Here is a 25,550-nt window from a genome sequence, read left to right as displayed (position 1 = left end):
AAATCATTTAGGAATAAATTTAACCAAGGATGTGAAAGACCTCTACCCTGAAAACCATAAAACATTGATGAAAGAAATTGAAGAAGACAAAAATAAATGGAAACATCCTGTGTGGATGGATTGGAAGAATTAATATTGTTAAAATGTCCATAGTACCCAAAGCAATCTGCAGATTTAAAGTAATCCCTATCAAAATACCAATGACATTCTTTACAGAAGCAAAAAATATATATATCCTAAAATTCATATAGTCCCACAAAAGACCCTGAATAGCCAAAGCAGTCTTGAGCAAAAACAACAAAGCTGAAAGCATCACACTACCTGACTTTAAAATATACTACAAAGCTATAGTAACAAAAACCACACGATACTGCATAACAAAGATACAGACCAATGGAACAGAATAGAGAACCCAGAAATAAATCCACACATTTACAACCAACCGATTTTTGTCAAAGGTGCCATAAATATAAAAGGGGAAAAGGAAATTCTGTTGACTAAATTAGGCTGGGAAAACTGGATATCCACATACAAAACAAAACAAAAAATAGACCTCTCACACCATATACAAAAAAAGTCAACTCAAAATGTATCAAAGACTTAAATGTAAGTCTCAAAAGTAAAGAACTAATAGAAGAAAATATAGAGAAAAGCCTCCATGACATTGCTTATTTGGATATGAGCTCAAAAGCACAGGCAACAAAAGCAAAAACAGACAAATGAGATTATAACACCAAAAGTTTCTACACAGTAAAGAAAACAATCAATAGATTAAAGAGACAACCTACAGAATGGTGGAAAGCATTTGTACACTATATGTCTGATAAGGGATTAATATCCAGAATATATAAGGAATTCAAACAACTCAACAGCAAATAAAAAATTAAAAAATAAATCTGATTTTAAAATACACAAATGTGCTAAATAGACATAGCTCAAAAGAAGTCATATACACGGCCAACAGGTATATGAAAACATTCTCAACATCACTAATCATCAGAGAAATGCAAATCAAAACCACAATGAGATCTCACCTCACTCCTATTAGAATGGCTACAATCAAAAAGACAAAAGATAAATGTTGATAAGGATGTGGAGAAAATACTTGTAAACTGGTGATGGGAATGCAAATTAGTACAGCCATTATAAAAATAGTATGAAGATTCCTCAAAAAAAACAAAAATAGAATTACCATATGATCCAGCTATTCTTCTACATGTTATATACCCAAAGGAAAGGAAATCAGTGTGTCAAAGAGATACCTGCACTCCCATGTTTATTGCAGCATTATTCACATTAGCCAAGATATGAAATCAACCTAAGTGTCCATCAACAGATTAATGAATAAGAAAGTGTAGTATATGTACACAGTGGGATACTATTCAGCTATAAAAAAATAAAGAAATCTTATAAATGTGCAACAACCTGGATGAACCTGGGGGATATTATATTAAGTAGAATAAGACAAGCACAGAAAGACAAATACCACATTATCTCATTCATATGTGGAATCTAAAAAAGTTGATCTCATAGAAGTAGAGAGTCCCATAGTACTTACCAGAGGCTGGGGCACTTGCAGGGATGGGGAAGGGCTGGAAAGACAATGGTCAAAGGATACAAAATTATAGTTGGATCGGAGGAATAAGTTCAAGAGATCTATTGGACCACATGGTGACTATAGTTAATGACAATACATTATATTATTGAAATATGCTAACAGAATGCATGTAAAATGTTCTCACCACAAAAAATAACTGTGAGTTAATGCATATTTTAATTGGCTAGATTTAACCATTCCACAATGTATATATATTTTAAAACATCATGTTATATAGGATAAATGCATACAATTTTATCTGTCTATTTAAAAGAAATCATTTTTTAAAAAAGGAAAAATATATAGGTTTACTTAATTTTCTTTCTCCTTCTCTCTCTGCCATCTAAACTTCATGATTAAATAACTGTCTGGTTTTGGTCATCACCCTGTGCCAGGACAAGCATGACACAAATATCATCTGATTAGTAAATGCATAACAAAAGAAAGTGCAATAAGGAAAGAAAACAAGAGAGAAAAGAAGAGAAAGAAGGAGGAAGGGAGGGAAAGAGGAAAAGTAGTTGGTGGCAGGTATACTAAGGCTTATTTTAAATCTTTATCCTGATTCACCAAGTGTCCTGGGGACTTGTTTCTGATGCGGAATTTGTAATAAAGCAGATGCGAACCTACCAATGTGGTCTCTTTTCTACAAGAAAATGCAGAAATACCTTAAGGAGTTCTATGTCAAAGAAGATGACTTTGAGTAGTGTTTAAAGTACATTACAAGGATGGAACCCTCAAGAGATAAAATTACTGCAGACTATGTGAAAGTCTACACCATAGGTGGAAAACTCAAATGCCTCCATGGGCCAATCAAGTAATATCAATAACTGAGGCAGGCCAGATATCAAAGAATTAGGTGTGGTGAGGACTTTTGCTACCTGGAAGACAGATGCCCCATCTAAAGAAGCAAATGCTACTCTGTATTGGCCAACTTCTGTTCAATGGGAACATAGGTCCAATAGTGCCAGGTATTGCTACTTTCTACAGAGATGCAAAACTCTGAGTAATGGATGTAAAGCTTCTCTATTTTTAAAACAATGCGTAGTTAACACAAACACTTTGCAGTATGAAGATTTCTTGTTATGGCATCTAGTGATAGTAGTTATTAAGGGACTCAAAGCCATCAGAGCCTCCATGTAGATGGTAGATGATCTCATTTCCTTGGGGAGATTATAGGAAGAAGAGTAGTTTGGATTTGTAGTTTGGACTCATAATCAAGAGTCAGCAAGAAGAAAATAAATGTTCCTTCCACTATATGTTCAAATGAGAGCCAGGAAAAGTGAAGCACAGCTTAGAAAATTGGGCATATTTGAACCAAAAATTTGAACCAATTTGTGAGTGATTTGAGGGACCGACATTTACTGAGACTTGGAGGGCTCCCTAAATTCTCACTGTCAGGTAAGCTAATGAGAACTAAAGTGATAGTGTTTAAAGTACTACTGATTGAGTGCCATAGGTATGCCTAATCCTATTGAAGTTGGGCCCATGAGAGGAAAGATATCAATGGACAGGAGTAAGTCAGTTCGTCAATACTAGTTAAGGTGATTGGCATCTTTCCTGTCTTGAGTCAACATAGTGCTCAGTATGGAAACAAAACTCCATGATCTGCTTTGAGTATGGCAAGTTGCCCATAGCTTTTAGTACCCACATATCCATCTACAGCCATTTCATAGTTCCCACTGGGGAGTAAAGATACCTGTACATTGGCTCTGGTTGTAACAGAAAGACATATAATGGCAACCTACCTCCTGAAGATTTTAACCCTAATTATAGGAGTAGAACCCTTAAGGAGAAAACTAAATTCCAGTATGAATGTGCTCATTCCCAGATATGCCCCCCCCCCATCTCCCAAAACATGGATTGGCATAACCAGACTAAATATAATAACATCTTCAGATGAAACAGAAAATCATCATTCACCTCAGAGAAGAAAAATAAGGGAAAGGGATATAGGACTGTGAATGGGAAGAGAATTTTGCTTCCCTAGGAAGCAAAAATTGTACACTGTGCTCCTCTTTGTGAAGTTTGCTAAGGAAAAACTGCAATGAGGTAGAGAATTGTGTATGAGAGAATCATATACAATGATTTGTCACTTGTTTTCCTCATAAAAATGGTGTGTCACTTGTTTTCATTTGTTTCCAGGGTTTGGAGGGTCTAATTTATATGATGAAAACAAGTGACAAACCATGATTGCCAGGGAGCTGCTATGGAAGAGGAAAGAACAATTTTCAGGAGTATGAGTGATATAATTTGGCTCTGTGTCTTCACCCAAATCTCATGTCAAATTGTAATTCCCAGTGTTGGAGGAGGGGCCTGGTGAGAAGTGATTGAATCATGAGGACGGACTTCCCCTTGCTGTTCCCCTGATAGAGTTCTCACAAGATCTGGTTGTTTGAAAGTGTATAGCACCTCCCACTTTGCTTGCTCTGTCTTCCTCCTGCTTCAGCCACATAAGACATGCCTGCTTTCCCTTTGCCTCCAGCCATGATTGCAAGTTTCCTGAGGACTCCCCAGCCATGCTTCCTGTATAGCCTGTGAACTGTGGCCAATTAAAACTCTTTTCCTTGTAAATTACCCAGTCTCAGATAGTTCTTTACAGCAGTGTGAGAATGAACTAACACAATGAGATGTAAGCATTGCAGAGAATAAGAAAAGCAAGAGGGAAAGCAGCAAAATGGTGAGGAGACTGCAGAAAGAGAGGCAGAGTGGGAGGATTTTAGCAGTTGCCCTAAGCAGGAAACTTTGGGCAGTGTAAACAATATATGAAGAAGTTTTTAGGAAAAGTTTTAAGTGATAAGCTATATAAAATTCCTATCTTGCTACCTCAAACAGATCATCCATTGATGTCTTGAGTAAAATTCATAATAGGGCAGGTTGGGAGGGAGGCAGATGGGGTGAGAGATGTATAAGCAGACAGGCAGGCCAAGCAGCCCGCCTACAATTGGGGAATATTCAGAAAGCCCATCCAGGATCAACATTAAAATTTATTTAAATAGCAGACTTCAAAATGAAACCTTTAACTCAACTATGGAAGTAATGAAATGAAGATACATATTTTAGAAAGCTTATAGTGAAGAAAAACAAAATCTCTGAAGGCTTGGAGATCTTTCCTCCCAGGTCAAATTAGGCACTCAAGCGTACATCATTATGGCTATCTGCCCAGGGTACCATTGCCCACAAGAACTGGGAATCCTTAGCAAGAAGGGTCTTTGCTGCCTACTCAAAGTCCCACTTTAGAGAGGCATCTACTTTGCAAGAATTCTCAGTTCACAAGCCAACAAAATTTGACAGGTTTGTTCAATGCTGTTGGGTATAATTGATTTTAGATTATCCTGATTAAAGTCAGTCTAATTTTCAGACTGTTGTTATACCAAAAGTCCCTGCTGAAAACAATTCTTGTGAGGAGCTTCTGACAGTTTTGGCTTGATTACGTTCCATAAAATCTCCCTGAAGTAGAAGTAACTACAAACAGAGGATATTCAAGCTTATGAAGGCTTTAATACTTCAACCCATGAGCCAACAGGGAGAGCTTGATACAGAGAGTGATAATTTCCAAACATATTGTCCTCTTTTCCTATTATTAAATGAAAATAAAATATAGATTGTTACTGTTACTTAGGGAAAGAAACTGAGCCCTTTGATCCGATCAGACAATTATCAAGGGAACGAAAATGATGAGTGATGTTTTCGGAAGAAAATTACTTTCAAAACAAATATTTCATAATAATTTGTATTGTTAGAGTGGTTTCACCATCCAACTTGATTATTGTATTCTTCTCAAACAAACAGACTGCCCTTTCTAGTAGCCTTGTTTACAGATATATTTATTTCTCTGTTTTTAAAATCTGATGTATCAGTTATTAATCCTGCTTTGACATATTGCAATCATGAGGGCTTGAAAGGGTTAATACAGTTCTTCAAAGGCCTAAGATGCTACCAGAAAATAGCTCAGAAATTGAAACAGTGTTCAATCCTGGCTGCATATTAGAATCAGTTGAAATGCCTTAAAACAAAAAATATCAAAGCGTAGGCCCTATCCTCTGAGATCCTGATTGATGTGGTCTGGGAAGGGGCTTAGTATTGTTATTTTATATAAGCTTCCCAAGTGATTTTGATGTGCAGCCACATTTGGAAACCACTGAATCAAGAAATTCTGTATAATTATTTTGAAAGCCAATGAATCAGAGCTAAGAAGTGGAACAAGACAAGTATGTCTGTTCTCACCACTTTTATTCAACATGGTACTGGCAGTTCTAGCCAGAGCAATTAGGCAAGACAAAGAAATAAAGGTCATCCAAATTGGAAAGAAGTCGAATTGTCCCTGTTTGCAGATGACATGATTTTATACATAGAAAACCCTAAAAGCTCCACCAAAAAAAAAAAAATAAACCTGATAAACAAATTCAGCCAAGTTGCAGAATACAAAATCAATATACAAAAATCAGTAGCATTTCTACACACCAAAAACAAACTAGTTGAAAAATAAATCAAGAAAGCAATCCCATTTATAATAGCTACAAAAAATAAAATACCTAAGAATAAATTTAACCAAGGATAAAATATCTGCACAAGAAAAACTATAAAAGACTGATGAAAGAAATTGAAGAGGACCAAACATGGAAAAATATTCCATGTTCATGATCTGAAATAATTAATATTGTGAAAATGACTATACTACTAAAAGCAATCTATAGATTCAATGCAATCCCTATCAACGTACCAATGACATTCTTCACAGAAATAGAAAAAACAATCCTAAAATTCATGTGGACCCCGCAAAAGACCCCAAATAGCCAAAGCAATATTGAGCAAAAAGAACAAAGCTGGAGGCATCACACTACCTGACTGCAAAATGTACTACAAAACTGTCATAACCAAAACAGCATGGTACCACAGAAAAACAGGCACATAGACAAATGCAACAGAATAAAGAACCAAAAAATAAATCCACATATTATAGTCAACTGATTTTTGAAAAAGATGCCAAGAATATTCACTGGGGGAAAAAAATTAGTCAAGAAAGAATGATACTGGAAAAACTGGATATCCGTATGCTGAAGAATAAAGCTAGACCCCCTCCCTCTCATCATATACAAAAATCAAAACAAAATGGATTAAAAACTTAAATATAAGACTCAAAATATGAAACTACTAGAAGAAAACAGGGAAAACACTTCAAGACATTGGACTGAGCAAAGATTTTATGGCTAAGACCTCAAACACACAGGTAACAAAAGCCAAAATAGAAAAATGGGATTATATTAAACTAAAAAGATTCTGCATAGCAAAGAAAACAATCAGCAGAGTAACAGAAAATCTGCAAAATAAGAGAAAATATTTGCAAACTATTCATCCAACAAGGGGTTAACATCCAGAATATACAAGAAACTCAAACAACTCAAAAGCAAAAAGTAATAATAATCTTATTGTAAAATGGGCAAATGAGCTGAATAGACATATCTCAAAAAAAGACATACAAATAGCCAACGGGTATAGGAAAAAATGCTGAACATCATTAATTATGAGAGAAATGCAAATAAAAACCACAATGAAGCCGGGCACGGTGGCTCACACCTGTAATCCCAACACTTTGGGAGACCGAGGTGGGCAGATCACCTGAGGTCAAGAGTTCGAGATCAGCCTGGCCAGTGTGGTGAAACCCCATCTCTACTAAAAATACAAAAATTAGCCAGGTGTGGTGGCAGGCGCCTGTAGTCCCAGCTACTCCGGAGGCTGAGACAGGAGAATCACTTGAACCCAGGAGGCAGAGGCTGCAGTGAGCCAAGATTGTGCCACTGCACTCTAGCCTGAGCAACAGACCAAGACACTGTAAAAAAAAAAAAAAAAAAAAACCCGCAGTGAGATACACCTGATCCCAGTTGGAATAGCTATTATCAGAAAGACAAAAAATAACAAATGCTGGTGAGGATGTGAAAAGGGGGAACTCTACTTTTACTTCCCACTGTTGGTGGGAATGGAAATTAGTACAGCCATTATGGAAACAGTATGGAAGTTCCTCAAAATTAAAAATAAGGCTGGGCACAGTGGCTCACACCTGTAATCCTAGTAATTTGGGAGGCTGAGGGGGGCAGATCACCTGAGGTTAGGAGTTTGAGACCAGCCTGACCAACATGGCAAAACCCCATCTCTACTAAAAATACAAAAATTAGCAGGGCATGGTGGCACACGGCTGTAATCCCAGCTACCCAGGAGGCTGAGGCAGGAGAATTGCTTGAACCCGGGAGGCAGAGGTTTGCAGTGAGCTGAGATCGCGCCACTGCACCCCAGCCTGGGTGACAGAGTGAGACTCCATCTCAAAAAAATTAAAAATTAAAAATAGAACTACCGTATGATCCAGCTATTCTGCTACTGGTTATATACACAAAGGAAAGGAAATTTGTGTGTCAAAGAGATAGCTGCACTCCCATGTTTATTGCAGCATTATTCACATTTGCCAAGATATAGAATCAACCTAAGTGTCCATCAGCAGACGAATGGATAAGGAAAATGTGGTACATATACACAATGGAATACTACTCGGTCATAAAAAATAATGAGATCCTTTCATTTGCAGCAACACAGATGAGCTTAGAGGACATTATGTGAAGCCAAATAAGCCAGGCACAGAAACATAAACTCTACATGTTCTCTCCCATACGTGGAAGCTAAAAAAGTTGATCTCACAGAAGTAGAAAGTGGTACATAGTTAAGACTGGGAAGGGGAAGAGGAAATAGTTTTGTTAACAGATACAAAATTATAGCAAATAGAGATAGATAGAAAGAATATGTTCTTGTGTACTGTAGCACTGTAGAATGACTATAATTAACAACAATTTATATTTTCACTAGAAGAATGGATTTTGAATGTTCCCAACACAAAGAAATGATAAATATTTCAGGTGTTGGATAAGCTAATTATGCTGATTTGATCATTACATATCATATACATGTATCAAAAATCACTCTGTATTTTGCAAATATGCACAATTACTGTGTGCCAATTAATAATAAAAACAAAAAATGAACAATTAACATCTGGCACTTAATATAAATTTCAATAAATTGAATGTGATTCAAATGATTAACTCAATACCAAAGAAAGTTCACCTAATAACAGATGTCTTTCCCAAGTAGTAGCAAGATATACAAGTTTTACTAGTACCGTCGTCTAGAATTTTACAGAAAACTTCCCAGATGTTCCAAAGTTGGGAATTATTATTTTGCCTGATGCATAAATATAACAGAATGTATATATAATATTTCAGCTTACTGGTTATTCATATCAAGCTATTAAAACTGGCCCACTCACCACTATAAAACTATACCAAGCTCCCAATAAGTGAAGTAAGGTAATGAAGAGAAATATGTTTTAAGGATATTTGCATATGTTATGACTATATATGTAAAACAATCCAAAAGTAATCTAAAATTAAAATATTAAGATAAATAACTGGGCCAGGCGTGGTGGCTCACACCTGTAATCCCAGCACTTTGGGAGATCAAGGCCGGCAGAACACAAGGTCAATAGATTGAGACCATCCTGGCCAACATGGTGAAACCCCATCTCCACTAAAAATACAAAAATTATCTGGGCGTGATAGCACGCGCCTGTAATCCCAGCTACTCGGGAGGCTGAGCCAGGAGAATTGCTTGAACCTGGGAGGAGGAGGTTGCAGTGAGCAGAGATTGTGCCACTGTACTCCAGCCTGGGCTACAGAGCGAGACTATGTCTCAAAAAAAAAAAAAAAAAGATAAATAACTGAATTTAGCTGTGTTTCTGGATACAAGTTAATACCAAAATCAATTGCCTTTATATATTCCAGCTGCAAAATGCTGAGAATATGATTTTTTAATGATGCCATTTAAAATACCATCAAAATATCAACTCTCTAAGAATAAATCTAACAAATACAAGAAGAGTGCTATACTAAATAGTATAAAATTTTATGGAGAGAAATTAAAGATGACCAGAAAATGTAGGAGAAAAAATCTTGTTCATAGATTGAAATAGTTCATATTGTAAAGATACCAATCTGTCTAGATTGATTTATAGTTTCCATGCATTACCAACCAAAACCACAACAAATTTTTGGGAGAATATAACAAGTTGATTCTAAAATGTACGGGGAATGCAAAGAATCAAGAATAGCACATGCACTATTAAAGGAAAAAAAGGAGAGGTAGTAATTGCGGTGGTGTTAGTAAGAGGCCATAAACTTTCATATATCAAGTTTTACAAGAAACATACAAAGACAAGTGAACCAATGGAATAATAATAATATAATATAGACAGCCCAAAAAAAGACCATGTACATATATATGTATACTCTACCTAATAAAAAGTAAATAAGTTGTGCAGAAACAATTGGATAATTATTTGAAACAAATGAAACTTGAATTCAACCTCAGGCCACGCACAGCTGGCCCAGCTGCTTTGAGTAGCTTGCTGGTGTGATGGCCAGGCTGGAAGGGCCCTGCTGGGATTGCTCATCTCTGCTCTTGTTTTCCAGTAACCCAGCCCAGCCTTGTTCACATGGCAGCAGCATTCCAATAGAGTCACGGTTCTTAACTGGGGCAATTTTGCCCCCATTCCCCAGAGAAATTTGGCAATGTCTACAGACATTTTGGTTGTCACAATTTGGGAAAGGGAAGGGCAGTACTTGCTACTTGCACCTAGTGATAGAGGCCAGGGATGCTGATAAACATCCTACAAAAGAGGCCTCAACCATAAAGAATTATCTGGCCCAGAATGGCAGTAGTGCTAAGGCTGAGAAACATTGCAATAGGGGAAAACGGAAGCTGCAAGATCTCTAAAGGTCTAGGCTTAAAATTCATACAATATCATTTTCACTTCATTTTACCAGTCAAAGGATCACAAAGCTAGTCCAGATTTGAGGAGCTGAGAAATAGATTGTACCTTTTGATGAGAGGAGCTACAAAGAATTTATAGACAACTGTTACCTACCACAAAAGCTGATGCTTTGGGGAAGGGTTGAACCACTAGGAGGATGTTGATGCCTTTTAATGAAGTGGAGAAGATTGATACAGAAATAGGTTGAGCTTAGATAGAAGGATTCAGGGATGGCTCTGAGATTTCAGAAATGGAAACATTTCTAAGGAGACAGAGAGGCAGTAAACTAAAATAAGAAGGCATGGATACTGTGTAAAATTCAAGCCTGACGGATTGTTTTTGAGATACTTACATAATTATCTAGGAGACGAACTGAGTCAATTGAGTTAAGTTCTATGAATGTGGGATGCCAAGAAATTTGTTTTGACAGTTAATAGGGGTAAGAAAAACTCAAAGTTTATCTTATTGCCAATATCACCATAATGACATAACTGAAAAAAGAAAAGTTCAGCTTCAAAGATAAACACTGAAAAATACCAAGGTCTTCACTAAGACCGCTTGGCAAGTCAGCAAAAGGGGAATTACATTACAAGTATTTTTTTTTATTATTATACTTTTTCCTTCCATTTTTATTACTAACTTTTTTTTTTAATTTTTTATTTCCGTAGGTTTTTGGGGAACAAGTGGTATTTGGTTACATGAGTAAGTTCTTTAGTGATGATCTGTGAGATTTTGGTGCACCCATCACCCAAGCAGTATACACTAAACTCAATTTGTAGTCTTTTACCCCTCACCTCCCTTCCACCCTCTCCCCTGAGCCCCCAAATTCCATTGTATCATTCCTATGCCTTTGCATATTCATCGCTTAGCTCCCACTTACAAGTGAGAACATATGAATTAAGTACAGGTTAATAACTTACTCATATTTTAAATTTTTTAGCTCCTGTTCAGCTGCATGAAGAAAAATGATTTTATGGCACTTTGTTGCCTGCAACTGGCTTACTCATCAGTTACAGAACACTTACAGGGATAAAAATGGGTCTCAGTTTCCATTTCCAGGTATAAATGAGCAGAAACACTTCAGACCCAAGGCATAACCGGGACTTTCCTCAAACTGTAAGTTATCTCACCCTAAGTGTAAGTTTTGGGAACACACACGAAGAGCATAGCCAGAGACCATGGCTTTTCTTTTTTTTTTATTATTATTATTATACTTTAAGTTTTAGGGTACATGTGCACAATGTGCAGGTTAGTTACATATGTATACATGTGCCATGCTGGTGTGCTGCACCCATTAACTCGTCATTTAGCATTAGGTATATCTCCTAAAGCTATCCCTCCCCTCTCCCCCCACCCCACAACAGTCCCCAGAGTTTGATGTTCCCCTTCCTGTGTCCATGTGTTCTCATTGTTCAATTCCCACCTATGAGTGAGAATATGCGGTGTTTGGTTTTTTGTTCTTGCGATAGTTTACTGAGAATGATGATTTCCAATTTCATCCATATCCCTACAAAGGACATGGACTCATCATTTTTTATGGCTGCATAGTATTCCATGGTGTATATGTGCCACATTTTCTTAATCCAGTCTATGATTGTTGGACATTTGGGTTGGTTCCAAGTCTTTGCTATTGTGAATAGTGCCGCAATAAACCTACGTGTGCATGTTTTCACAGAGAAACTGCATTCATCCTGCTCTGCAGTGTTTGAAGCACGTGAGCATCAAACAATTTATTTCCACCAGTTCAATGATAGATTCCAAAAATCTTAAGATCAGAGAGGAAGAACTTTATGGGATGATGTGAAAACCACTGTCTTCATGTATAATCTTTTCCTTGAGTTGAATTCAGAGCACTTCTTACCTTCTTAATATATTCTATTTTATCTATATTCAAGCCTGAAGTAAGATCTGTTTATTCCCGACTTTAAAATATTTTAGCCCTTTTCACAAAGCCACCAGCCCCCACCTCCACTGCTTTCCTCTAAAAGCAAACATACTCCACTGTATTGAATATTGTATTAATTCTTCTAATTAAAAATCATTTTCCTTTCTTGTCCCTTTTCAAGGCACTATCTTCCCTTTTCACGTGTCAGTTTTTCTTCTTCCTGAATTGCAAAGGTGAAAAAAAAAAGAAGGTGAATAATGTTGTGAATGTAAACACGTCTGTTGCCATGGGAGCCGCTGAGCGACAAGAACCACTTGTGGCTGCAACATTTGCAGGAGGCCACTTACCAAACCTGGCAATTCTAATTCAGTAAACAGGGACAACAGTGGGCATCGTTAGAGAAAATTGCTTATTTTACTGGGAGGGAGAGAGGCAAGCTAGGAGGCTTCGAGAACTCTATAGGATGTACAGTCGATGTTGATGAGCATGCCCGTTGCCTAATGAAGTGGTTGTTTTTCAAAGGGGCTTGGTAAAAACGCAATTTCCAGCTACCTTGACAGCAAGGAGGTAGACTAAGGACACATCCTGTGTTTGCTGACAGTTCCCCCATAGGCCTGGTGATGAGGCCAGGGTGAATACAGTGCCATCCTGTAACTTAGAAAACCATTGCCAAGTTGCTACCTATTAGGTACCACAAAATTCTGAGCAATGTGCAAATCCAGTAAAACTTGCCCATTTACTTAGCTTTAAAAAAAAAAAAACTGCATAAAGTGCTCAGTACTATGGAAAGAAAACTGCAGCTGCATTCTTCATTCTTCTCCTTCTTAAAAATGCGATCAATTAAGGAATCTTTTCATTTACCAAAAGCATTGTTATTTGTCCTGTGCGTCAAAGGGTTTGGGGAACATCTTTACGCATTTTGTTTTCCAGTGATCTTAAGAAAAACGTTAACAGGAAAAATTAGCTACACCCACATTTCTGAGATTTTACAAGCCAGAACAGAGGACCCACCTCCTGAAGATTTATACCTAGGAAGAGGATATGGAATAAAAATTATTCATGTCCCGTAGGCCATCACCAGAACCAAGACCCCAGGAATGAGGACCTCAAGGGTTTAACTTGTCACGATCACAAAAAATATTCGAATGAATTCCTTGAGAGCTCATTTGACTATGCAGGCTCTTTTTAGCCTTCTCTTTTGTTCACAGGACAGAACAATTTCTGGCACACATAGCTGGTACTTAATAAAATTTATGTAATTGAATTTAAGTAGACAAAATGAAAAGTTGTTAAAACAATTAATTATACCAAATTTGAGTAATTGAATATGACTCAAGTGTGATAAAAAGTTCTTAAAAGACTTTAATTTCTACATTCTTTATTAAAATAGTGGGGTTTTAATTGTATTATAAAAATATCAAACCCATTTTTCTATAAACCACTAAAAGATGTTCAGTCTTGTTTTATAGAGGCAGAGTTTGAACAATAGAAACCACAGGGACCAGAGTTGGGTTTTTGTTTTTTTTAATTCTATGTCCAGCTTGGACCCTAATTGGCTGCATGAACTTAGGAAATCCTTGATGCTTATTTTTCTCATCTGTAAATATTCTCCCTGGTGAAGTCCAAATGACATTATAAATATGAGGGCAATTCAAAAATTATAAGCGATCAGATGAACTATATAAAACTAACCTCCTTTGTGTCTTTCTCCTTTGAGTCTTTGTACAAATGCCATCTTCTCAGTGAGGCCACCCTTGGGCACCTTGTCTAAAACTACAGCCTACTGCCAACCCCATCCCTGCTTTATTTTTCTCCTTGGCACCATCATCATGTTGCATATTACATATCCAACTTATTTGGCTTGCATATGGACTCACTGCTTGCTGGAATATAAACTCCATAAGAATGGAGGTTTTTTTACTGTTTTTTCCTAGATATATCCACAGACCTAAATAATACATGTTTTAAAATATTTTTTAATTAATAAATGCAAAAACAAATGACTAATTTGCTGTCAGTTTTTTCTAAATGGCTTTTCAACATGATAGAAATATTAACCAAGTCATTCTATCAAGGCCTCTGATCATATCTGTTAAAGTCAGCAGAGTCCAGTGAAAGAGCTCAGGATTGTGAGTCAGGACACCAGCAAAGTAGAGGATCTTGGGCATGACTCACAACAAATCCGTATCTGCCACAGCTACAAGCTATAGAATTGTTATCAGCATAAAATATGATGATGTGAGTAAAGTGCTTTAAAAGTTAAAAGCACCAATAAGGTATTACAGTCTGTACTGCTATTAAACAGCGCCTTAATATTTTGTCTTAATTCTGGTGCCTTAATATTTTGTCAGGGACATTAAGCACAGTAGGAGTAAGAGTGGCAGTTGCAATGCAAACATTTTCAAAGGAGTGAAGAGAAGGAAACTGCAGTTGGTCTTAGCCTCTCTACTATAAGTAAATGTGGTTGTAACCTGTCATAGGCTGCAGAGTAGAGCACAGACCACAGAGCCTTGGCCAGAGATCAGGGCACCACAGTGTCCTTCGTGAAACTTGAAACAGTTGAGTTGTGAAGCAAACTCAGATGTTCCAGCAAATTACAATGTGTAGATTAAAGTGCCTTGTTCAACAAAGCATAAAACACATAATTAAAAACATGTAAAAATTAATCATATATCTGGAAATAATAAATCACTGCCTCCTTCAAAGTGTCATGAAAATGGAAGTTTCTTCTGACAGATTCCATTGTTCTGTAGGTACTATTTTCTTGGTATGATGCCTTTCAGTACCCCTGCACATGATTAATTTTCAAATAACATGAAGTTTTCGAGCATTATAATTCAGAATAGTTTCCTAGGCTTCTTATTTCTCTTTCCTCAGAATCATTAAATATTAGGTATGGAGAATGGTTTTTGATGATAAAAGTCTTCTAAAGTGAGCTGAGTCAGAAACAAGGAAATGTCTAACCCTGTGCATTGGAAAGTGGGGTGCCCTCTGGGGTCACTGCCCTGTGTTTCCATCACAGCTCAGGAACTGTTTTAACTGGTTTCCCCAGCTGATTCCCAAGTGGGTCGTCTGTGGAATGAGTATGGTCATCTGTGGAACTGGTGGATCTGTGATCCCTTCAGATGTTCACTGCATGAGTTGAAATGCTTGAGAGTTTTTGATCTTTGATCTAAAGAAAGAAGGCTAAGTAGAGGAGAAAGGACAGTCCTAGGATGCCTGAAAGAAGAAGGGATAGGGAAGAGGAAGAAACTAAAGAGGCATGGCCTCTGTCTCCTCCCATGACCTGAGTCCCTATGAAAAGAAGAGTTAGGAACAGAAGCTGGACAAGCAATAATTGGTGGGGCAGGGGAGATGGGGGAGCTGTGAAATAGTCGTAGAAGCCGTGTACATCAGCTGTGTACTTCAAGGGGCTGCACAGAGATGGAATGCAGTCATCCTCTAAACTGAACCTCTCTTGCCCCTTACAGCACCCCATGCTGCCACTGCCCTCAATTCAGATCTGGGGCAAAGGGGTCCAAGGGCAGCTCCCAGCCCAGTGAAGATCTAGTTGACAGTAAAGCTCAAAGAAAGCATTTCCAGCAGGGAGAGTGCTGACCACAGCAAGGCAGGAGTCAGCGTGGAAGAAAGGAAGCAGCCTGGCTTCTGACCCTCCCGAGACACGCATGGGGGAGGACTAGAAGGGCTGTTCTCACACGGGGAGGGGCAAAAGGTCATTGCAATTTGGGTGTTAGTGTCAACAGGACTTCATCTCTGCCCTCAGACAGGTAAAACTTGGGGAAATTCTGGTTGCAGGGAGAGGAGTTTGCTCAAAGGCTCACTGAAAGGATTAAATAGGAGAACATAAGAAGGTGCATGGCACAGTGGTCTGACACATAGAAGGTACTGCATAAACGTAGTCTTAGAAGATTTCCCAGGTACTTGGGTGCAAAAGTGTAGAAAGAATATCGATACCCCTCCCCCAAACATCTTTCTCTGTCCCCCACCCCTTACTTAAGCATCCTTATCCAAACTACAATGGCTCCAGGGTCTAGACGGTTGTCCAAGAGGGTCCAATAGCTTATCGTACCCTGCAAAAAATAATCACAGGACTTCCACTGACCATTCCATATCAGGGGACAGAAACACACACTGGAATATGCCATCTGCTTTTGTCCTCAACCTCATGGCACCTTTTAACTGTCTTTTAAATTAATAACATCTTCTGAAACATGAGAAAAAGAGAATTTTTTTTATTTGAAATAGTGCCAATACTAAATGAGTAAGTCTGAAGTGAGTTAGTCATAAACATGTCACCTGGCTCAGAGAATTTTATATCCAAATCACCATCCCACAGCGGTGTCTTTGCAGTTTCTCTTGGCTCACTGTGCTATTTTTGAAGCCTTATAATGTTGCCCTCAGAAAGAGCCTGCAAGAAAAGAAGTCGAAAGAAAAGACTAATCTAATAAAAATCAAAATGAGGCTGCATGCCAAACACGACAAAATAAAACATTTATCTCTCCCAGGGGTCTGCCATAGCCGGTTCTTATGGCTCATATACTGCTGACAAGTTTTATGTTGTCTTGATTACATCCAAAGCAAAATTGCCCCAAATTATTTAATCATATGCATGCCAGGAATGCACTATATCTGACAAATATAAAGTGAAATCTACTGCCTTTGTTTTCCCCAGGTTTCAATATGCAATTGTGTAGACTTTCTAAGTAACATGAATGTGTAAAATAGGTGTAAATTAAAATATTAAAAATTCAGGTCGATTCATTTGGGTGAATAATTCAAATGTGACACTTCATAGCTGTGTACTCCTAGAAAATTCTCATTAGACCTTAGTAAAAGTGCTCTAATGTACATAGTATTATATATGTGGTCATAAAAGATCTTCAGGTTGGGAGACTTATTTTCTTGTGAGACTTCCCCACTGTACCCTAACCCATTTATAGTGCAATGTAGAATTCTTTATAGCTATATGAGAACTTAAATAGCAGCAAGTCCAATTGCTCATTTCAAAGATGAGAAATAAACGAAATGCAGCAAAGTAGTCTTTTTGGGTTAAATCTTTCCGAAAATGTACTTTAAAAATCTCAACCCAAGAAAATGTTTATAAGGGCTTTAGTCACTTGAGTCTAGCCTCAGAGGCCTGTAAGAAAATGCATTTTTGTCACCAAGCAACAGGAAATATGATGCAAAAGACTGCATGTTTGTCTCCCCCAAGGGACTGAATTCATCAAACAAAAGTACCATGTTCCATTATCTTTATATCTTTAACGATATACATAATAGACATTAAATAAGGAGACATATACCAAATATTCCTCCTGCTCACCCTATTTCAAGAACAATTCGTCAGATCTTCCACATAATTCTCCCCAGTTATGGATTGTGTCAGCACCAGATACCAAATATTACATGTAAATTAAATACTGTAGAACTATTTTTAGTAGCACAGACCACTATTCGTAGTTGGTGGTCTTGACTAGCTGCTGAATTAATTTCTGCCTGTGCATAAAGAGAATATACAGAAGACAGCACAGAGTTGAAAAATATCCATTTACTTATAAGTGCCCAACTGTGGGTACTGCACATAAAACCATTCTCTTTAAAAAGAATATTCTCTAAATGCATAAAGATCTTGGAATTTGGTTGGGTTTACCTTATCCCTCATAATAAAAAATCACTATCTCAGTTCTTATGCACTAATTATGGTAAAGCATCCTAAATTGTGCAGTAGGCATTGTCTTTTTTGCCTATGAATTACATTTTATCTTGCTATCATTGGTTTGCTGGGTGAACTATTAAGAGCTTATTGCTATTCAGACATAAATGATAGCTTTGACCACCCTTTTTACCCACCCTAAAATGTATTTTTATGCTAAAGCTATCCAAATGAGTGATTTTAAATATAATTATTATATATATAATATATGATTATATGGAAGTTAATATGGTTATGTCAATAAGTAGTTTGTAACTGCCAAGGAAATATTATTTTTTAAAGTTTTTCTCACTGTTTTTAATAGAGGGGTAATAGTTCCTGTAAGAATCTCTAAGCAGTTTTACAGAGAATAATTTCACTAACCATTGCAGTATACTTCTCTGAAAATGAGATTCTTAAAGGAGTGAGATGCTGGCAGACTGCACTGAGGGTGGTGATGAGCTCTGGGAGATAAAGACCTGACCCTCCCCATACTGCTCAGACTGGGAAACTTTTATAGTTGTCTCTACAACTGTTCCAATATATGAAGGCACACTTCACCTAACATGTGCAGACTTAGAGCATGTATGTTCAATATATGAATGCACATTTCACCTAGCATGTGCAGACTTACTACCAGCAAGAGTAACCACTAAGGGGGCTTTGAAGCATCAATCTTAATATAGTTCAAGTTCTGCCAAGGGAAAAATCTAAACATTTGAAGGACCACAGCAGATGCTGTTGCCACACTCCCTCCCGTATCCCCTCAGCCTCAACTCTGAGTTCCTGTAGCTGTCATGGACAATGAGCACGTTGATAACTTCCCACCTCAAATACTCTTCCCTATCTCTCCACCTGCGGGCTCTGTCTCCCCTAGGAGAGATTGCTTAGGCTACTTGCGTGCACAGTTGGCAGTGTAAAATTCTTAACTTTATTCCACTTTGGATGTGCTTTGCAGTTCCTATTCCTGCTAATATGGTGCAAAGCTACTATAAGCAAGGTTCTCTCAATCCATACTTGTCAGCAATCTGGAAGTGCTAGGAATTCCACACAAAGAGCAACCCTCAACCAATGAGGAGAGGGAGTAGGTAGATAAATACCACAATTTCCTTGCCCCTCAGCAGAACAAGTCTAAGTTCCTGAGTGTGTCCCCAGCTAGACAGAACCCTATTTCCTACACAGGTAATCCACCTCTATGAATGCACCCTCAAGTGGCTTTTCTCCTGAGAAAAGAAAAATAGCTCAGAGCTGTCTGAGCTACCTGGGGTATACAAAATTTACCAGGCACTAAGAAACATGGTTCTGTCCAGCGCCTGAACCCATGCCTGGAGGCAATTGTTTAAAAGCATTTTTTTCGTGACTAGGGGTCTCACCCACAGTCTTCCAATTCCTGGAATATGTGATACAAAGAACAATGTACAGCCAACCACTAGCTTTAGTAATCTTAATGTAAATCTTGGTAAACAACTTAGGAACTGCCTCTTCTTTTTCCTTAAAAACCCACTTGTAAAGGCTGCTAACCAAAATGTATATCCTGGGCAACTTGAATCTATGCTCCTGGGTGGCCCTTCTCAAACTTTAGGCTTGAATACACGCTCTTTGAACTAGATTTTGACCTTTTTGTTTGTTCTAGGTCCACACTCCCTGTCTTCACTCACTTTCTTAGCTCCTTCCTTTGTGCATCCTGGAATCCTCCCAGATAAACTACCCACCTCCAAGTACTGCTTTCTGGTTCTGCTTTTGAGGGATCATAACTAAGACAAAACCTTCCTTCAAAGTCAGTGGTAATGGGCAAATTTAAGGGAGTTAATGGGGTTAACTATTAAGTTAGTGGGGTTAGTGGAGAGAGAAGGGGAGGAAGAAAGAAGCGTCACCTTTTACTTAGCTGAAAATGTGTTCCAGTCATGATATTCACAAACGTACCTCTTATGCTAGGAAGATCTTATAAAAGACATATTCTCTATTTTCAAATGATGGCTGTTTTCAGCACAGTTTCTGGGGCTATATGTCCACTGACATTTTCCTTATGATATTTGATTTTCAGTAACTAGGTATGTCTATGGACTCCACCCTTTGTTTTTTCTGATAAAGCTTACAGATTTACTAGTGATATTTCAATGCTGCTTTGCCTTTCATTGTCTCCAGCTACTATCAGTCTGGCTGATAGTAACTGTTATGTATATGAGTGAAAGAAGGAAAGCAGAGAGAGAAAGGAAGAAAAGAAGAAAACATAGCAATGCTTTAAAATGCATTAGGTGATAAGCCATGCAGTTCTACAGAGTAAGTATGATTCATTTTGTATACATGATTTATAGTATTTGCAAATTCCTGGGTTATCTGTAATTCTTAGCAATAAGCCTAGATATTCCTTAAGGTCAAGTGAGAAAATAAGTTTGACACATCAGAAACTCAGGAAAAGTACTGAGGCCTGAGGAGCATTCTTCAAAGGAAATTAGTCTGAACACTAAAACAGAGTTCAGTACAGGAAGTCAAAACAAGGCATTCCAAGTTCTTAGCAGAATGGCTTAGTTTGGGGATCATTTTACTCTCTTACATGGAGAAACAAAGAATTCAGAAATCAAGTGTGCATAAAGAAAAACAAAATACTTGAATTTTTTCGTCCAACAAAAACATAATACATGAAGATGAAACTCATGGTGAGAAAGCTTATGAAAATTAAGGTAGTAAATAATTTAGTTCTCACCAGAGATTGTCTTGAACTGACTTGTTTAATATGTTTCTGAAGACATTATTTCATTCTCCACCCTCCTTAAAATAACACAAACTAAAGAAGAAAGTAATATTGAAATGTTTGTGTTTTTTATTTGTTTATAGCACTCTCTCCAAATCATGTTTTTACAAAGGGACTGATTGTGGAAAATGTTTTATGAAAATATTTTCTGTAGATTCTAGTCCAATCACCTTGGAGTGTGTCTGATCTTTTACTTCGTACCTCAAGAATGTAATCTTCTGAATTTTCTTTCCAAGACAAGCAAGCTTTCATTTAGTTGAGGAACTACAATAAGGAACGCATCCCGGCTAGAATTTCAAACCACTGAGCTCCTGGCAACTTGCCCTTCCTTGTCATTTCTTTGACGCTTTCTCTCCTCCTACCTGTCTCTTTTTCACTCCCACATACCCTCAGCCCCTCTCTCTCCTCCATGGGAGCAACATGGTTGCTAATTGGAATGATGGGAATGCTTTGAAGTCACTCAGGCATAATAATTTGCTTTCTATTTTTAAAAACAGATCTACTAGTAAAATAAGTGTCAGGAAAAGTGGTATAATCAAATGTGCTTTGTGCCTCTTTCAGAGAACAAATAAATTTTTCCTTCTACAATAATGAGTATTAAGTGGAAATGGTTTAGAGATTTGGAATAAACCTCACCTCTATCTCCAAATTCTTGGCCTTGAAATATTGATGGTTGATCAGAAATGCACACAGGATCGGCCAGCTCCAGCAGGCCAAACTCAGAAAGAATGCCAGGAAGCTTAATGTGGAGGCTTAGTCCCAGGGTCAGCAGTGCCTTAGGTCCCTTTTCAATCTTCAGGTCACAAACAAGATCCTGCACAGTCTGCATTATATTCACAAGCTATAATATTTTAATCATTCTTGGCTGCTTCTCTACTTGGTTGGAATGGATGTGGATGAGTAGAAATTGAGGTGATAAAGATTAAAGTAGGCCAGCACAGTGGCTCATGCCTGTAATCCCAACATTTTGGGAGGCCAAAGCAGGTGGATCACTTGAGGCCAGGAGTTCAAGATCAGCCTGGCCAACATGGTGAAACCCCATCGCTACTAAAAATACAAAAATCAGCCAGGTATGGTGGCACGTGCCTGTAATCCCAGCTACTCAGGAGGCTAAAGTAAGAGAATCGCTTGAACCAGGGAGGCAGAGGTTGCAGTAAGCCGAGATGGTACCACTGCGCTCCAGAGTCCAGCAAGACTCTGTCTCAAAAAAAAAAAGATTGAAGTAAATATCTTTTCAAAACCCAGTAGAAAAAGAACAGCTGTTTTTATTACAAATAGAAAAGGCTATTCCTAGCAACACAAAAAGAAAAGACTGTTTTATATTTGTAAATATGTACACCAAAGCTTCTCACTCCAGGTGCCTCTTGGTCTTGGAAATTGGGTCACACTGATTCTCTGGTAGTCATTTTCAAAAAAGATGACTGCTGAAATCAAGTTCTATATACCATGCCTTGTGAGGTATGGTATATTCCCAAAGTAATTCAAGCAAAATCTCATGATCTCAGGTACATTCATGACAGACTCTGTTCTTGACCAAACCCTAGTATGACTTCTAGCAGATTAAGATTTCGTCCCTAAGATGACCTCAGCTCCCTCTTAAAATGTCTGCCTGCGAAAGCTTGCAATTATAAATCCTTTCTCTGCCCTTGAGATATAAATCTTCTATCACGCAAAACTGTCTCCTCAAGGACCTGGGAGCCATCTCTCTGAAATGCAAACATTAGGAAGATAACTCTTCCTCTCAGTGTGAAGGTAAGGGCATAACATCTGCAGCCCCTTGCCCCAGCTTGCACAACTTCCCCTGTCATAAAGATGTAAGAAGTTTGTTTCTCCTCCAGATAAGCACCAAGTAGCAAACCTAGATAACCTAGTGACACAGACCATATGCCCCTTAACACTCATCAGTGTCTTTTCTTCAGCACACCCCAGTATTTAAAAAGTGCCCCACCTTTTGTTGCAGCAGAGTTGAGCTCAGGTTACATTGGCTATTCTCCCCTATTACAAGAGTACTGAACAAAATCTGTCTTTATCACCTTTAACCACCATCTGGTTTTGTCTGCCTTTGACATCAGCTGGCATTCAATAAAGGAAACAGTAACTACTCTAGGTGTTTCAAACAGAAAGAATTTAAATGCCGGTAATTAGGTACTTACGTTGGAAGAATTAGAGATAGGGTTACTAAGTTTACTGTCCAAATTAAGCATTTTTTGCGGGGGGGAGTTGTTATCTTTTAATTGTCATTTTATAGCTCCCCACTGCAGCTGACCCACACCCTTCCCTTCAACGATGACGTTTGCAGGCTTCAAGGGGACCAGGAAACAAAGCTGGGGCCTGGCAGCCCCACTACGCTGCCAGCCGGGGAGAACAAGTCACAATTACAAATTGTCACAACAATTAGCACCTGTACTTGGGGGCTCTGCATATTGAGGAGGCCCCAGCTCCTCATTGCACAGGGGTCTATTTGGCAGTGACCTTGCTCTGGAGATGATGATATTCCTTCAGCCTGAGGGAACTGATGTTGATGAAACCAGTAGCATCAATTGGCTCATAATCACCCTGCATGTTCACGCTCACCAGCTTTTCATTGTAGAGAGACAGTGGGGACTACCGGCCGAGGATGTACACCTGGCCCTTGAAGACAGACACCTGCACTTTCCCTTCCACTGGCTCCTGGGACTTGGCGAAGCAGTGGCAGGCAAATTCACACTCAGTGCTGTGCCAGAAACCGGTATATACCAGCTCAGCAAATTTCAAGCCCAGGCCTTGTTTGATTTTGTGCACTTCCCAGTCCATGGTGAAGGCCTTGATGTCTAAATGAGCGTGGTAAAGGATGGTGCCTGCCGGGGCCTCCTAGATACCTCGAGACTTCATTCCAATAAAGCGGTTCTCCACGATGTCAGTACGGCCCACGCCGTGTTTGCCCGCGACTTCGTTCAGGTACATGAAGAGCTCCAAGGAGGTCTGGTAGGTGGAGCCATCCTTGATGTCAGTCACCTTCACGGGGACCCCTTTTTTAACTCAATCTCGAGAATGTCAGGGGTGTTGGGGGCCGGGTCCTGGGTCTTCGCGTAGAGACCTGGAGGCGCTTGGTTCTTGGGATTCTCCAGGATTCCAGCCTCGTAGCTGATGTGCATGAGGTTCTTGTTCATGCTCCACAGGTTCTTGGGAGTGACCAGGATGGGAATCCCGTGGTGCTTTGCGTATTCCATCAGGTCGTTGTGGCCCTTGAACCGGTTGTAGAACTCAGGCATGCTCCAGGGAGCAATGACCTTTATCTGGGGAGCCAGCGAGTAGCAGTTGAGCTCAAACTGGACCTGATCGCTCCCCTTTCCCGTGACGCCATGGGACACATACTTGGCCCCCTCCCGGTGGGCAATTTCCACTTGTTTGCAGGCGATGCAGGGCCTGGTGAGAGAAGTGCCCAGGAGGTAGCGGTCCTCATGCAGTGCGCTGAACTGGATGGCTGGCCAGATGAACTCCTCCACAAACTCCCTGCTGACATCCTCAATGAACACCTTTTTGGCCCCAAGCTTCAATGCTTCTTCCTGGTTTCCTTGAAATCTTCCTTCTGGCTAATGTTGGCCAGGTAGGCAATGACATCATAGCCTTGTTCCTTCAGCTACAGGAGGATGCAGGAGGTGTCCAGGCCACCACTGTAGGCCAGAACCACAGAGCCTTTTCTGGACATAGCGTCTGGGATTGGAGGCGCTTGTTCCCAGCGTCTGGAATCTGTCTTCACGATGCAGTGAACCACTCAGGCCCCAGCAGCGGTGGCAGGCGACAGAGCAGGGCCACTAAGAGCAGGTTTGAGAGTGAAGAGGACTGGTGCAATGGGTAGAAAGCAGGCCTATCCCAAGCATATGGAACAAACTAAGTCAGGCAGCCACTACTGTATCAAAGTCACACCAGTTAGCTGGTATTCAGAGTTTTGGAGCTTCTGCTCCCACTGCTGCAGCCACATCCCTGAAAGCCTCACACCCACAAAGCTGGAGCCTAGAAAGGGAAAGGCTGAGGCCAGCCATGTCAACCTGCAGCCAGAGCACGCCTGTCAGGAAGACAGCCCCCTCTTCTTCTGCCTCCCCACTCTGTTCAAGGACTTCTCATCAGCAGGACCTGATTCATGTCCAGACCCCTCCCTGCAACTGAGACTGGAAATATCACTGATAGTTTTTCATCCTTTCCACAAAGAAGGAAGATGAAATGCAAGTTCTACCATCATCTCCTTTTCCAGGCTATTCGGCCTTGATTTCACACTGAAAAATAGGTCTCTGCTCTGTCAAAACTCTAAAAAATGTGAGGTATTGAGACTTCCCAAATCTCTTCAAGATTGTCTGAATGATATCTGGAAAGTCTGACCCAGGACTATTCACTTTTTCTACCTGTTGTTAAATGCTGGTCCCAATTCTATTTCCAGTAAGAAGGAGGCAAAAATGATGAAGAGGTAAGTGTTTTTTGCCCCAAATCTCTATTAATAATCAATGCATTAACACTTTTTCAAAACCGTAGTTGAAGTTGTTCTCTAAAGTTTTGATGATAAAAGCATAAAGGATCTATGTGGTCAAGAGCAGGGCTGCCTACAGAGTTATGAATGCAGTGGTTGGGTTTATGTTTCAGTGACTGTGTTGTGGAATACTTAGTTACTTGGTTTGTCCTTTGGATGTGGCTGTGACAGACAACAAGTAACTTCAGGTAGCATTTATCTGGAAAGAGACAGAAGGAGAGAAAGAGAAAAATGGAGAAAATTAGAGTCAGTAACAGAAAAAGATATAAACA

General features: G+C 39.0%; 1 pseudogene; it reads right to left on the bottom strand.

The window, feature by feature from the left end:
* Window positions 23,004–24,567, bottom strand: ASS1P14 (argininosuccinate synthetase 1 pseudogene 14; annotated as a pseudogene).

The sequence above is a fragment of the Homo sapiens genome, chromosome 12, assembly GCF_000001405.40.
Source record: "Homo sapiens chromosome 12, GRCh38.p14 Primary Assembly".
Classification (NCBI taxonomy): domain Eukaryota; kingdom Metazoa; phylum Chordata; class Mammalia; order Primates; family Hominidae; genus Homo; species Homo sapiens.
The sequence above is the reverse complement of the archived record's forward strand: the minus strand, read 5'-3'. Positions and strand labels throughout refer to the sequence as shown.